Genomic DNA, 15,608 nt, shown 5'->3' on the forward strand with positions numbered 1-15,608 from the left:
GTAAATGAGTAAGAAAGAGATGGGCTTACTGGAACCATGGAAGTTGAGCGAGGAAATGAATAAGTCGCAGCTTATGGGAGATGAAAAAGATGGCATCTTTACCAAATCTTGAAAACAGTCTTAGGATTTCAGTAAATAATGATGGTGAACATTACAAATGGATGGACTGGCCTGCTTCAGGCATGCAGGTGCGGAAGTGCAGGGCAATTTCTGGGAACTGTGAATTCTCCCACAGTTCAGAGGAAATGGGAAATACGTGACATGAAGTAGAGAAGGGAAGGCCACAAAGCCTAGAGCTATAGGCTAGAGCAGCTCTTAGCAAGCCTTCCTTCCCAGGCTGAAGGATTTAAAATTCCTTTGTTAGACTCTCGAGACTCTAGGAATATTTTAGCAACAAGAGGCTCAGAGGCTGATGCAGTGTGTTGACGTGTGTTGAGGTCAGGATGTCGTCTGTCATGGGAATGGAAGGGGAGGCTGAGGGACAGACGGACAGTGGAAGGAAGAGGACTTGATAACTAAATTGGGCTCAGTGAAGACCAGGAGGCTTTGGCTTAACTGGGAGGATTGTGAGCACAGTCAGCAGTGGTGGGAATGGAGGAGAAGAGCATTAAGTTCAGTTTTGATTGAGTTGAGTCTGCAGTGTCACAGAAGAGTCAAGAAGGATGCAGGCCAAGAAAAACCATGGGATTTGGTGACTGGGAGGACCCAAGAGTATTTCAGAAGAAGGATAGAGGTTGTGGGGAAAGGAAATGCATGGATGTATACATGGTGCTGAGTGTAGATGTGCCTTTCTAGTAGTCTGGCATGAAGGGAGAGGAAGCTTAGACATGCAGTTTGTTTGTTCAGCAAATGATAAGTTGTACAGCAAAGGAGATTGTCAAAGTGTAAGGTAGAGATGACTCTGCCTCAGGTCTGTGAAAGAGTGGAAAGATACTTCATTTGAGACAGAGGGGCATTCAGGAAGGAGTAACAACACAAAGTTTCAGAAATAGGAGACACTTCGTACAAGCGCCTGCCCTCAGACTTCTCAGTAAATAGGAAATTTCTGAAGTCCCAATGAATTGAAGACTTAAAAGGAATGGAAAAGGTTTGAAATGACTGCTTTGGGAAATTGAATGGAAAGAGTGGTAAAACTGTTGAAGAGCAGGGAGAGGCCGGTCACACTTAGATCATGTCCATCTGGAGTGGGCCCTGATGGTTGTGGACTGTTTATCCCTGAGTGAGGAAAGATACAGAGTCATAGAGAACCCAGAGTTGGAGATGTTCAAGAAGGCATCGTAGAAGGCCAGGAAGGGTAGCAGATATGCTAGGAAGTTCTCTCGGAGGTCTGAAGTAAGGAAGCCGGCAATGCTGAAAGACAGCTCCTGGTCCAGGAGGTGGAGGAGGAGGAGTTGAAGGGTTGGCAGTTGATGTTCAATGGGAGAAGTTGGCAGATATGGAAAGTGTGTTCAAGCGAGACCATACTTGGAACCTAGAATCAGTAGATAAATTATGTGCTTTGGATCATCGCTCTCGTAATGTGTTAGTTAATCAAAGTTACAATCCCAAATCATAGCACTCTGAGAAAGCGTGTTCTATAATGAACACTTTACATTTTTCTAAACTTAAATGGTTAGGTACTGTCATTCTGATTTTATGGAAGTGAAAACCGAGTGATAGATTAAAATCACTTGGCATTTGAGATTAGAAGGTAGGAACAGCACCTCAGTCCTAACCAAATGTCTTGTTGATCACATTTTACTGGTCTCTTTTGGCAACTTCTCAGCTCAAAGAGAAATAGAAAAGGGAAGTGGCTTTTGTTGACTATCACTACGTACCAAAGGAAAAAACTTCCTTTTTTCTTGCAGTATGTTGGGAGGTCATGGCATAACTGCTGTGCAACTGCATCGCAACAGTACTGCAAGCCAGAGCTTTCTGGATGGATCAGAAATTGTATTCATGGCTTCTTTGGGAAGAGTTATTACCTTAAGTTTCACAAGAGCAGCTTTTGTGTGGGTTAGATGCTCTTGCTGTTTCAGCCTCGTCTTGGTCAGGCTGCAGTGAGGGTTACACTGGGGCTGGCCCGACTGATCTTCGAATAGGATGATGAGTTGTTTCTTTCCATCTTAAAGGCTTTACTTCAGCCTTCAGGAAGTCGTTAGTAAAATCTTAGTTTGTCTCAATCTCTCTCTAGTTCAGTACAATGGAAAAGTTTCTTGAGAATCAGACCAGACTGCTGGGGAATGAACAGGAAGAAGGAAACAGGAACAGAAGCATAAAGACACCAAAGACTAACTTTACTTATTTCAGAATTGGCCCGAAGGTAGCCCTAAATCCAGAAGTTTCTTCTGTGCCATGGTAGAGTGAGGGTAGGCCCTGGGGAAGAGGACTTAGTACTGGTACTTATCATGACCAGCTCATGCAGAGAATGAGCCTTGCTTTCTTTATCCATGCAGTAGAAATAATACCCACTTCACAAGTTGCTTTACATATTCACTAAGGTAACAAATGTGTGAGTGCTGCTGGCATGGTCTAAAGCGGGTTGATCATCTTACAAACCATTTGTTTCTTCTTTAAAATGTTAAAGGTTTGTAAGGAATGCCTTTGGCCGCTTTATGGAGGACTGGAGTGGGGAGGGTCATTTTCATGTTTCATGCCTTTCCTTTCTTCCTAAAAACATGTCCGAAAGTTCACTTAAGTAATAGAAGTGGACCTGGGAGCCCGTTTATTTAAGCAATGTTATCTTGAAATCAGGAATTGAGAAAGAATTCAAACTGCAGGAAGATGAACCTACACTACATTTTAACGCATGCAAGTAGGGAATGGGATTTCTGTCCTACATTTCTTGAAAAGCAGGGTTGCTGCCCTAGATTTTCTGGGACAGCCCCAGTTTTGGTGCTGCCTCAGTGGCCCACAGGAAGGGCATCTCATCCTGAATTAATGTTATGTTAACAGAAGGCTCTGTGTTACTTACTGTGACATCCTTTCATTGTTGGCTGACCGACGACCTATGGGACAAACATAAAATGCAGTCAGAATTTTTAGATTCATGCAAGCGGAGGATCCTTGTCACATCTTTGTGAAAGGTGGCTTCACTGCCTACATCATACAGCTATATTAAAAGATATAACAATTCATTTTATGAAATGCAATTTTAAAATATTTTTACTGATACTGACTCTAGCCATTGTGCTGATTGAGATAAAGCCAGGGACAAAGGTTAAATAAGCCTCCTTTAAGTTACAGGAAGAAGGAATCCCTTTAAATGCCCCATACTCTGGTGATGCCGAGACTGTGCCCGTCGGTCACAGTGCTGAATTTCTGTGACTTCTATCAAAGGGCAGCGTCTGCCCTGGCAGATAATACCTATCATGGGTACGTTTTGATCCTTATATCTCTGGAGAGAAAAGGAGGAAGAAGGGGAAGGAGGGAGACAAAAAAGACCGACAGAGCGAGCTAATATCAAAGAAGAAAAGAAATTACTCCTGGCCGCTTTTAACCATTTTGTTTTCTTCTCTTCTGTCTGGGGCATTAAGACTTCAGCTAGTCCCCAGTCGTCTTTTCCCCAGTAGCTTTGCTTTTCTGGAATTAAAGTAGCAGAAGAATAAAGAAAACAGGCGCTGGATGAAAGGAGAACAGACTTCTTTGGTAGAAATGTGACATGAAAAGAAAACCCAGGGTTTCTAGGCTTCTGTTTCAATCCCTCCAGCACGTATTGCAGGTAGATTGAAAAAGTGAAGTCTAGGTGATCTCACAATTTGCATTTGCCACTGAGTGCATGTCTAGGCTGCCTGTCTAGGCTGCCTGTCTAGAAGCCTCACTTGCCTTTTTATTTGCAGCCAGCAAGAAAGAGATAGCTCCCCACTAGAGATGTCTTACCATCAGTCACCCAGTTGTACCACTCTGGGCTACCATACCGTGGGGGCATTAGGCAACCAGTCCTTTGGAGGGGACAAGTCCAGTTTCCTGGCCAGAAGGAGAGGTGTTGTCAACAGGGTGACGCTGTTAGTTACTCTGAAACTCACACACATTGCCTCAGAGCTGCCTTAGCGTGACCTACCTGCCTTTCCTTGCTTTCGCTCCAGAGACCCCAGATAATCAGGCATTCGGGTTGAAAGGTTTACTTGCTGCCTCCTTCACACTCTGCTTCTAATGAAAGTTTAAAATTAACCATAGTTAAGTTGTATTTTAGAAGTGTTCAGAATTCTAGCATTAATTAAAAAATCATGACATACCTTTTGAAGAAGTTTATTATCTTGAATAATTCCAACCATGGTGAAACGTGAAACACCACTAGCATAATTAGTACTGCTTTTTGTATCTTATGTTAGTAGATTCTTAAAAGACTGAATTTTCATCCTTGGACATACAGCCCCAGATTCTAACCTCATCATAATTTCACTGATTCTGAGGCCATCCATTCTCCTGCTTCATTATCTAATATTGGGTGGGCCAAACCTTTTACGAGAACAGCTCACAGGCATGCCAGAGCGTACAGCCATGAATAAGTACAGAATAATCATTATGATCTTCGAAACCATTGGAACCTAAGAAGGGCTGGAAAGATAATTGACCAAAAGGGAAAAAGTGGAAACTAGGCTAAAATAAGATGATTTAGCGACAGATTGACATAGGTTTATATATTCTGAAAATAGAAATGATGACGATAATGTGTTGGGTTCTGAGACAGTCGGGAGAATTGAAGATGTTCCGACCCATACTGAGAAATTCCGTGGGGAATCAGTCAGACATGAGGTTATCTGAGTGATGTATATTAGGTATAATACTAAGGAAATTTGTAGTGAACTAGAGCTCTTACCTATGTTAAAGAATCAAGGTCTTCAAATATGTCTTCAAATGTTTCTACATTTGCCTTGATGAGTCTTTGTTACAGAGAAAGGAATGCAGGAAAAAAAGGCATGTGTGAGCTGGTGGATTATGCTGTACAGGAATTTGTCAAAGCCTGAATCACATAGACAAACACACACACACAAATGGCAAGCAGAGAAGAAAGTTTTGCTGTAAATGGAAAAAGGGGCTAGTTAGCTACACTGGGGAATGCTGTAATGGTAAAGCCAATGGGTCAGACAGTGGAGATGGCCTTGGAAACACTGCAGGAATTGGTATTTTGGATCAGTATTCTTTTCATTCTCTATGTAAGTGACAGACATGTTTCTAATCCAGTATCCACATTCAGGTATTAATTCACATTGGAGAAACCCATAAGATACACTCTGGACAGTGATCAGTTTGAAGAATAAAGGAATATAATTTCTCTATTTCTACTGGAAGATCATAAATAGGAATTAGGGAGAAGAATTAAAGGGCTGAGAGAATATTTACTCACCACACTATTTAACTGACCCACCATCTGATCATTATAAAATATGTTGGGCTTTATTGCTTATGTAGGACAAATTCTGCAGCTTTACCCGCATGTGGGTCAAAACCTGTCTCTTTATAGTAGTCTTCCAGCTTTGTCTGCATTTACTAAGTTCATGAATTGCTGCTATTTTGTTGCCTTTTTAGCTTTTGGGGAAAAAATCCTTCCCAAACTACTATAGTTTAATGGGAACTGCATCCTAGTCAAGTAAAGAAATAACGCAAACATCAGGGAGGGGGAGGAGCAGAGGAAACAAGGCCTTACTCAGAATTGCTATCAATTTTAATACCTCCCTACTAAACATTCTGTGTAGGGGATGCCTTAGTAATCTGAATTTTTTAGAAAGGGGTGTTTTTTAGAGAGGGATATTTATGAAAGCTAGTATTAACATGTTTAAAGTCTGCCCCCCCGCCCCAAATGCTAAACGTTCCCAGTGATGCACCAGACACCAAGTGTTACGGAACAGGTAATCCACCACTTTTCACAGAAAGCTTTTTAGCTCCTAACTAGGCCACTGTACCTGATATTGGGAAACGTTTTTGAAGGATATCAAGGAGATGGAGGAGTTCCAAGGGAGAGCAGCATGAATCGCAAAGGTCCGGGAAGGTGAGCCCACATGGAAAGGTCTAGGAGGTTAACTTAAAAGACCTCAGAGCATTGAGTCATGAGATTGAAAAGGGGGAAAGGCTGTAGCAAGACATTAAAAGGAGGGATTGTGTTCTCAAAAAAAAGAGAGAATATGATTGAAGTTTTGAAGACGCTAAAGTGCAGAGTGAAGCTATATATAGATAAGTTCTTTCAATTAATGCTAAACCCTGGGATACTGCTGCTGATGTTTAAAATGTTGGAACAGCAGGCAACATGTAGAGTTTGAGCCAAACTTTTACAGAGACGAGGTGGTGAACTTAGAGCATGTTACAAAAGTTAAGGAGATGGTGGGGCAGCTCACCCAGCAGTCCCCAGGAGGGGGCCTCCGGTCAGCTCTCACATAGGCTTAATGCAGAGCCCTTTTGTAACAATGAGTTGAGGTTAGGGTACCCTTCAAAGCCCTGGGACCGTTTTAATGTTGAACTGAATATAGAACAGAAACGATGAAAAATGTGGTGCCGGCAGCTGACACAGTGTTTACCAAAGCACCAGTCATGTGGCAGTAGATGCTTCTGGGTGCCTACTGTGTGCAAGGCATCATTCTCAGTGCTGAGAACATAAAGATGAGCAAGCCATGTTCTTTGCCCCAGAAGGAGAGAAAGAATTGTCTGTAGTAAAGAGAGGAGAGCCACAATTACCTCGAAATGTAAAACCAGTTTCGGGTTAGCCATGTCCGTTGCACACATGCATGCATGTGTGTTCTTGTGCGCGTGTGTTTTCTGTTTAGCAGAGAATGCGCTAGAGAGCGTGATCATCCTGTGCTATTCATATAATAAAGATGAAGTGAGAGAACATTAGAGGAACCAAGGCCATGTGATGGTACACGTCTGACGTTTTTTCCTTTCGGTTACATGCCCGTATCTCCTCTTTCCCCTTTTTCCCCTTTGTCTTCATTTGGTTCCCCTCCCTATAGGGAGTTTAGGACAAGAAGAGGCTAAAGTTTCACTGATGAGCCTTTCTGAGGGTTCTCCATTAAATCCAAGGACAGAAAATGTACAGTCCTCTTATTAGCATAACGAAGCCATCAGCATTGCATCAAGCGGGTCCTCGTACCCTTTTCCTTGTAATGGTGTTTGGTGTAGGGTCCTGAGGAAGAGCTGCCAGCCCCTACCTGATGGATCAAAATCCCCTTGGCACCAAAGAGTGACTGATAGTGTTAACCATCACAGGAGACATGTATGTATGTGTGTGGAACTCTGACGTGTATTTTAAACTTTGCAATAGCCCAAAGTTAATTTGTTTCTTTGCCATTTGTTTTCGAATGGGTGTGGCATTGCTTATAAAATGTTGAATGTAAGTTGCCTAGGACAGCGCCTGGCATATGGTGGAAACTGAATAAAGGCTGCTAGGTAGTGTAGACTAGATGGACTAGAAAACAGTACAGATGCAGATGCTTTCAGATGTTCTCTCTGCCACAGAGAGACCTTTCTGTGTGCTTTGTTCAAAGTTGACAGTGTGAGTAAACTACCATCAACAAGGCGTTACTTTTGGGTAATTTTTTCAATGTTTATCCCAGTTCCTTCATCCGCTTTTACATAGCCTCTTGTACTGCAAGCTACACTCAGTTTTGAAGATGGTGGGTTAGCGTTAGAGTGGTGTTCTGTGGCCAGTGGAGGAGGAAGCTTGCTCACTTTAATGCAGAATGTCTAAGCATCCTGCGCTAACCATTGGCAGGAAGGTTATTTCAGTGAGACGCTGGTTCCTTCTCACCCCTGCACCCTTCCTGGAATCACCACTGGTTGCAGAAGCCTATATAGGGTGGCTCATTTGGACGAAGTATTGTTAAGGTGGTTATTAGAAGACTCGCAACTTAGAAAAGGAAGTAAACATGTTAATACTAGCTTTCATAAATCCCCCTCTCTAAAAAACACCCCTTTCTAAAAAATTCACATTACTAAGGCATCCCCTACACAGAATGTTTAGTAGGGAGGTATTAAAATTAATAGCAATTCTGAGTAAGTTCCTTCTCATGTAGTTAATGCAGCATGATGAAAGAAATAAAAGTCTCCTTATTTTTTTACTTTCTGTGTTGCTTCTTAAATATACTCCTTCAAGTCAGGTTAGCTTACCTTGGGTGTTTGTATTTTGTTGGCTTATGTTTGCATGTGTGAATTAAAAAAAAAAAAAAGAGAAAATTAGGTTATTAAAAGGAGGATATGAACCAAAATGTTGGCATGAATTAAGAAAAATCAGTGAAGAAATGTTGCTTAATTTGTACACTTCCCTGCAGTGCTGGAAATGGACTTTTCCTTTGCATTTCCATGAGTCAGGGAGAAAACAGACCAGCCTGGTTTCACGTTCCAGACAGCATGAAGTACCTCAACAGCAAAGAAGGAAATAGGGGCCTTAGTTTTTAAATCCTCTGTAAGATAGTCAAGGCTTCTCCAGTAGAAAGTTAGGTTTTGTAATAAGGGACCATTTTGTCCTTTCTGTTCAGGATTCAACAATTGCTTGTTGATTTGGGGTGAAGATGCCATGAACTCAGGAGCGGGTGAGGAGGGCCTTTCTCTGCCTCCCATTCCCAAAGCATTCTCCCTAACCCCATGGTGGAGGCTGCGGAGAGTGTTGTAGGCAGTTGCAGTGCCCGTCACTCTCTGGGTGAAGCCAGTATGTCCTGGTGGTGGCCTTAGAAGACAGCCCCTGTGAGGCTCAGTAAGCCGCAGCCTAGATTGGAACAGCGTGACTGCCTGGTAGGATAAAGGAGACGACATCTGAAAAGAGGGTTTCAGGTGTTTGCAAAGAGGTCAGATCCCTACACATGAAACGCTGCGGCCACAGCTGCAGCCATGCTACCTGCCACATGCCCTGGCCTGCGTCAGCGTTATGGAGTAGGCAACCTGGTTCGGCGCAAAGAGGAAATGCGCGTTCTGTGCCCAGTCCTCGCTCCCCTTTGCCAACCGGGCTGCTGAGTGTGATGCTCCCTTTGTGAAGTGGACATCTGTCTAATGGGAACTGGACGGTGACCACCAGTCCGTTTTACACAGGCCACCATACAGCTGCCAGGTGGCGCTGGCTCTTAGCTGTTCTGCAAGTCCAGCACAGGGTGTATTCAGCTCTAGAGGTGGCAAACACGGGGCCCTTCCACCAGGCCCACTCCCTGCAAAGGAAGTGCTTCCGAGAGCCAAGGCTTTGCTCTAATCTCTGTGAAGGAAGAAAAAGACTTGGGGAAAGGTAATGAATAAATTAAAGACACACTTTTGTAATCGTATATTTTAGGCTTTCCTCTCTACCTAATTGTGCTCTAATCTGTACTTAGGAGTATAGTTTTTTAAGTGGGACATGTCAGGCTTTTATGCCACAGATTAAACTCCAAGGCAAATAAATGTGTGACAGCTTAAGAGGCGAAAAGAAGAGTCTTCGTCAAATGGCAGAGTTTGATTGTTTAACCTAGACTAATCAGTCTTTGGAGGGCCTGCCACATGTCTTCCAGACGGCTAGAATGCTCAGGAGATAAGAGTGGGGCCTATCGCTCTGTGGCTTTCTCCCCCTGCATTAGCCGCAGAGCTGAGTGAGTCTATGAAAACCCATTGGTCGGGCTGCCCTAGCAACACAGAATGCTGTGCTGACACATACTCCATCACATGTTTGCGATGAAAATGCTGTATTTTTAGAACACTTCAAAGTCAGGAAACCGTTAAACCACACTGCATCCTCTCTTGCCCTCTGGCCACTTCCTCCACACCCCCAGGAACATTGCCCCCATTTCACAGAAAAGGAGCCTGAGACAAAGATTAAGTGATATTTTAAGCAAAGCTGATAATCCCAGGGAAAATTGCTGATCAAGTCTTGAAATCCAACACATCCTTCGGAGTAATTTTTAATGCTTTCGCTTCTTTTACCTAAGCCATGTGTGTTCCATATGACCTTAAATCTAAGCCCTAATATTGTAAATGGAGTTCAGAAGACAACTTAGTCTCCCATTTTCTTTCCTGGCATTCATTCAAATAAAAATAGGCACGTAATACTGTACTGTTAAAAAAAAAAAATCAAAGCTCCACGCACACTTTGAAAATCTTTTAGAATTTATGACGCTTATTTTCTTAAGTATCTTTATGCAAATAAAGATCAGAAGTCCTTTGAGTTTACATCGCTTGCTGAAGGACTGTATCTTGTGTGTCTCTGAAATTTGCGTGCCTAGCTCGGTGCCTGACATGGAATAGCCATTGAAAAGTAGCTGCAGATTGAACGAATGAAGTAAATGCTACCTCTCTCTGATCCACCACTAACTTACCCATTTTTACAGTTACTATTCTGTGGAGCAGAGACATGCTTGTATTCATTCTTAGGACATGTGTTGAGAACCCTACGTGCCAGGCAGTGTGCCGCATCCCAGGAATACAAAGATGACTACTGGGGCATGATGGAATGGAGTGAGGAACATGAGGGTATGTGTGTGCGTGTGCCTGTGTTGGGGAGAGAGCCTGTGACAGTCTTCTTTTCTTTCCCCCCTGAAGGCTCTGTGATCCTATAAAGGTTAAGAACAACTGCATTGTACAAACAGGGGGAAGGAGGGTCAGAGTTGTCCAGCTCGTATAGAGTGTTGCCAGGTGCATGCTGAAAATCAGGTCTTAAATTAGCAAAGCTTACGTGGTGTCAGGTAACAGTCACACTCAGCCCTAGTTCTCAAAATAGTCCTAAACCAAAAAATGTTCACTCGGACTCCTAGCCCCCTAGTCTTCTCTGTCAGCAGCCCCAAATATATAAGGCTGAGGTGTTTCTAATGTGAGGTTCTGTTAGCCTGTTGGTGCTCCTCAGTCACTGGGGGCCAAAGAGGAAAACATAATAAAGAGAGTGAAAGACTTTCTAAATTGTAAAACTCCATACCCGTCTGAGCCATGATGTCTGGTTCTGTGCGTTTCCTGGTTTCGGTGAATCTCCATGTCTTGCTTAGCTTTTTTCTACCCTTTGGCTACCAGATCAAATGCCACTTTCCCAGAAAGCGGCAACAAGAGTGGAAGGTGGTGAACCTAAAAGGCAGCATAGGGTGGTGGTCGAGAACAGGGCCTTGGAGACTGCGTGCCTCTCCGGATCCCTCCTCCACCACCGCTTCTGTGACCTAGACTAAGGGTTGACTTCCCCACGCCTCTGCTTCCTCATCTGCAGGATGAACAGGGCCGTTGAGCAGATTCAGTGAGGTCGTGGAGGCAGAGCAGTGACAACAGTGTCTGGACTCGGTAAAACCGACACCGTACTCAGTCTCCTCCTGATGAGGAAACCCAAGTCCGGAAACATGAAGGGGGCCCTTCCAGGCTGACGCTATCTCCCAGTGACAGCTCTGGGTATAGCCTGCCATCCGAGCAGATGAGCCTTTCAGTGACAGGAAGATCAGTTCTCGGTAGTATTGACAATAAGAATAATAACTAGTATTTCTCTGGAGTACTCGCCATGCGCTAGGTCCTGTACTAAGGGCTGACTATACATTATCTTGTTAAAATGTGTCCTCACAATAATCCTGTGAGATTATACTACTTATGGTGCCCATTTTACAGAGAAGAAAACTGAAACTTAGCAAAGTAACACATCTAAGTATGTGGCAGCATGGAATGAATGAATGAATGAGTTTATTTATTTATTTATTTAAAGACCAAGTCTTGCTTTGTTGCCCAGGCTGGAGTGCAATGACGCGATCTCGGCTCACTGCAAGTTCTGCCTCCCAGGTTCAAGCGATTCTCCTGCCTCAGCTTCCCTAATAACTGGGACTACAGGTGGCTGCCAGTATGCCCTGCTAATTTTTGTGTTTTTAGTAGAGGTGGGGTTTTGCCATGTTGGCCAGGCTGGTCTCAAACTCCTGACCTCAAGTGATCAGCCCGCCTTGGCCTCCCAAAGTGCTGGGATTACAGGGGTAAGCCAACATTCCTGGCCCAGACATGGAATTTAAACCTAAATATTTTGTTGGTAGCATCCCCACTTTTAACCATGACATTGTCCTTGTTCGGTTCCAGGGTTTCTGTAGCGTGGAGCTGGGCACATCTCTCTGCCTGCTGTGCTTGTCAAACTGACGTTACCTCTCTCATTTCGGAATGAATACTCCTCTCGACTGTCAGTTGTCATTGATGTCTCTGTATTCATACCAGTTAGCACAGTGTGTGGTAACCAATAGGTGCTTAATGTTTGTTCAAGTACACTGAATTATTCCTTCAACATTCCTTGGATTTCGTGCTCCCATGCCTGAGTCTTGCCATTTCCTCTACCTAGAGGTGTCATTTCTTCTTCCCAGTTCTGATGGTTTCTGTTGTGGCCTTTCAGCATCCAGTGCATATGCCATTGCATCCATAATGGCTCTTCCTCCTGGACACCCCAGCAGAGTCATGTCTCGCTCTGCTGAAATTCCTGTGACGCTGTATGCCCCTCTCACTGTGCACAGTACTTTGTGCCATTCTGCAGTTGCATACGCATTTGTCATCTCTAACTCTAAGTGTCTTGCCTTGGGGCTGTTTTAGTCCATTGGTATACATTATAGGACCTCATCGAACTTAGTACGGTGCCTTAAAACAGTGAAGAACATTTCCTGATGGAGAGAATGCAAAGCATTCAAGATAAAGGGACATTATTTTCCCACCAGCCTGTATCCTGCCTTGTTCTTCTTTCCTTTTCATGGCACGTTGACATGGAACACCCCGTTGCATTCCTGGTTTTGAATCAGCTGATGGGCACTCCATGGAGCATGAAAAAATATTGTTTCAGCTGAAGCAATGGAAGTAAGAGAATCATTTTAGGGTGTCACTGTAGTGTGAAAAGCTTTGACATTTAAAATAAAATAAGGAAGGAGAAAAACAGTTCACTCTGTCATTGGAGTCTCTTGCCAGCAAGGGCTCTGAGCCCTCTGAGCAGCGTGCTCACCTGAAACCCCGCCAGACTTACAGATGTTTCGTTTGGCTCCAGTGTGAAGAACCACACTGCAGTTCTCAGGAACAATTCCATTCTGGCAAGGACTGATGTAACCGGGGAGCGGGGCAGCAAACAGAAATGACTTCATAGGTCCTATCCCTCTCTACTTTCCTAGATCCCGTAGTGCACACTGCCCTTTTCCTTTGAGTTTTCATCCATCACTTTATTCACTTAGTGCCAAGACATACGACCCTTTTATGAGGCTATGAAAACTCCACTTAGCCAAGTGCATGTTTGGAACTCTAAGACAATGATATACTTTGCCCCTAGTTGTGATCCTAGAGCTTCCCTGAAGGTCATGTGTAGGTGAATGGAACTCTTCCAGACTTGGATTTTCTTCCTTTGAGGACTTGGATTATAACATGGAGGAAAATTTATTTTTGGGGATCAGAGAAGAATTTGAGTCAAGGATAACAAAGAGGTATGAAGAGAAAATGAGAGTGGAAGTTCCAAAGGCTAGTGTCTCTCACCTCTCCCTACCACCCCATGTTTTAAGCTGCCCCTTTTAATTAGACATTCTGCCAGCATACAGCTTGTCCAAAACCAAACACATTATCTGCTCTTTGGTTGGCCCTGTTGTGTTAATGGAACAGTCTTCCTTCTTGTCGCCCAATCTCAGAAGCTCGGCATTATTCCTGACTGCTGCCTTTCCTTTCCTTCACATCCAAATCCTGTGAACTTGAGTTTTTTAATGTTCCTACCGCCATTTGTGCATTCCTACTGTTGTCACCCTTGGTGCCACCTAGAATATCAAAGGGTCTTTTCAACAGCTCAATGGAGACATAATTGATATGCGGCAAACTTCACGTACTTAAAGTATAAAATTTGATACATCTTAACATATGTATACACCTGTGAAACCATCACAACAATCAAAATAACAAACACATCTCTCACCCCTGAAAGCTTCCTCATGCACCTTGGCAGTCCCTTCTGTCCTGGCTGCCCCATGCCTCAATTACTGACCTACTTTCTGTTGTATGTGGTTACCATTTCCTAGAATGTTACATAACTGCAGCCATACAGCATGTGCTTTCTTGGATCTGGCTTCCTTTGCTCAGCCTGATTCATCCCCGTCACTCATTGATTCCTTTTGATTGCTGAGTAACGTTTCATAGAATGGAGGTACCACAGCTCATCACCTCTCCTCTTGATGAGCCTTTGGGTTGTTGTCATTTGCTGAATATTTTAAACAAAAAGCTGCTGGGAACATCCATGTACAAGTATTTGTAAAGACAAGTGCTTTTGTCGCTCAGCTAGACACCTTAAGAGTGGAATGGCTGTATCATATAGTAGGTTTATATCGAACTTCTTAAGAAACCGCCTGTTTGCTAAAGGGATTGTACCATTTTACATTCCTACCAGCAATACCTGAGAGTTTCATTCCCTCCACATTCCCTCCAACACTTGGTGTAATCACTATTCCTAATTTTACCCCTTCTAATCTGTGTGTAGTGGTATGTCATTATGGTCTTAATTTTAATTTGCCTGATGGCTAACGATGCTGAGCATCTTTTGATATGTTTGATTCGTGTATATCTATCTTCAATTCAGATCTTTTGCTCATTTTTTACTTGGGTTATTGCCTTATTGTTGAGTTCTGAGAGTTCTGGATATGCTCTTTGATCAAAGTACTTCACTAGATACACGTTTTGCAAATATTTACTGCTAGTTTGTTTCTTGTTATCTCTTAATATTTTTTAAAAAGCAGTTTCTAATTTTGGTGAAGCCTTATTTATAAATTCCTTCTTTTACTGATTGTGCTTTGGGTTTTATATCAAAGAAAACCTAACCCAAGGTCATAAAGGTTTTTTCTATATTTTCTTCTAGAAGTGTTACAGGTTTAGGCTTTACATTTTAGTCTTTGATCTATTTTGAGTTAATTTTTATATTCAGCATGAATTATTTATTGAAGTTCATCTTTTTGCATGTGGATATTCAATTGTTCCAGCACTATTTGTCCTTTCTCCACTGATTGCTTTTGTATATGTGTCAAAAATCAGTTGTCTGTATATGTGTCAGTTTATTTAAAGACAGTCTGACCTGCTCCAGTGATCTTATTTGTCTGTCTTTGCATCAGTATTACATTGCATTAGTTACTGCAACTTTATCACGAGTCTTGAAGTCAGATACTGTTAGTCTTCCAACTTCGTTCCTCATTTTCAAAGTTGTTTTGGCTAGTCTAGATTCTTTGTATCTCCTCGTAAATTTTAGGATCATTTGGGCAGTTTTTACAATAAAGTCCTACTACAGTTTCTATAGGAAATGCATTGGATCTGTTCATCAATTGGGAGAAATTTGTCATCTTAGCAATATTGAGTCTTCAAAACCATGAAGTGGTATATTTCTCCACTTCTTTAGGTCTTCTTTGATTTCTCTCACAAATGTTTTGTGGTTTGCCATGAACAGGACCTTGCATATCCCTAGTCAGATTTATCCCTAGGTGTTTTATATTTTCCGTGGTCTTCTAACTAATTTTATTCTATTTGCTATTTCCAATCATTTGTTTCTAGCATATAGAAATATAATTGATTTTTGTGTATTGATTATGTATCCTACAACCTTGCTAAACTCATTCTAGTAGCTTTTTTAAAGAGTCTGTTGGATTTTCTACGTAAATGGTCGTGTCATTTGCACATAAAGACAGTTCTACTTCTTTTCCAATCTAAGTCTTGTCTTTTCTTGCCTGCTTGCACTGGCCAAAACGTCC

At 42.6% G+C, this 15,608-nt stretch overlaps 1 protein-coding gene across 69 annotated transcripts in view, besides 5 other annotated features; it reads left to right on the plus strand.

The window, feature by feature from the left end:
• CELF2 (CUGBP Elav-like family member 2) overlaps window positions 1–15,608 on the plus strand; it is an 874,126-nt gene that overhangs the window by 706,748 nt on the left and 151,770 nt on the right.
• Window positions 6,593–6,682: an enhancer, noted in NCBI's record as "active region_2993". NCBI's record gives its function as "activates an Ori minimal core promoter by ATAC-STARR-seq in GM12878 lymphoblastoid cells {active_cell/tissue: GM12878}" and the evidence as "EXISTENCE:reporter gene assay evidence [ECO:0000049][PMID:35858748]".
• Window positions 8,773–8,822: an enhancer, noted in NCBI's record as "active region_2994". NCBI's record gives its function as "activates an Ori minimal core promoter by ATAC-STARR-seq in GM12878 lymphoblastoid cells {active_cell/tissue: GM12878}" and the evidence as "EXISTENCE:reporter gene assay evidence [ECO:0000049][PMID:35858748]".
• Window positions 9,429–9,723: an enhancer, noted in NCBI's record as "tiled region #4729; K562 Activating DNase matched - State 5:Enh". NCBI's record gives its function as "activates a minimal TATA promoter and a strong SV40 promoter by Sharpr-MPRA in K562 cells {active_cell/tissue: K562}" and the evidence as "EXISTENCE:reporter gene assay evidence [ECO:0000049][PMID:27701403]".
• Window positions 11,049–11,343: a silencer, noted in NCBI's record as "tiled region #12202; HepG2 Repressive non-DNase unmatched - State 21:Repr". NCBI's record gives its function as "represses a minimal TATA promoter and a strong SV40 promoter by Sharpr-MPRA in HepG2 cells {active_cell/tissue: HepG2}" and the evidence as "EXISTENCE:reporter gene assay evidence [ECO:0000049][PMID:27701403]".
• Window positions 13,464–13,965: an enhancer, noted in NCBI's record as "NANOG hESC enhancer chr10:11224724-11225225 (GRCh37/hg19 assembly coordinates)". NCBI's record gives its function as "activates a minimal SCP1, AML or CMV promoter by ChIP-STARR-seq in naive H9 embryonic stem cells {active_cell/tissue: H9 hESC(naive)}" and the evidence as "EXISTENCE:reporter gene assay evidence [ECO:0000049][PMID:30033119]".

This window comes from Homo sapiens, chromosome 10 (assembly GCF_000001405.40).
Source record: "Homo sapiens chromosome 10, GRCh38.p14 Primary Assembly".
NCBI lineage: Eukaryota > Metazoa > Chordata > Mammalia > Primates > Hominidae > Homo > Homo sapiens.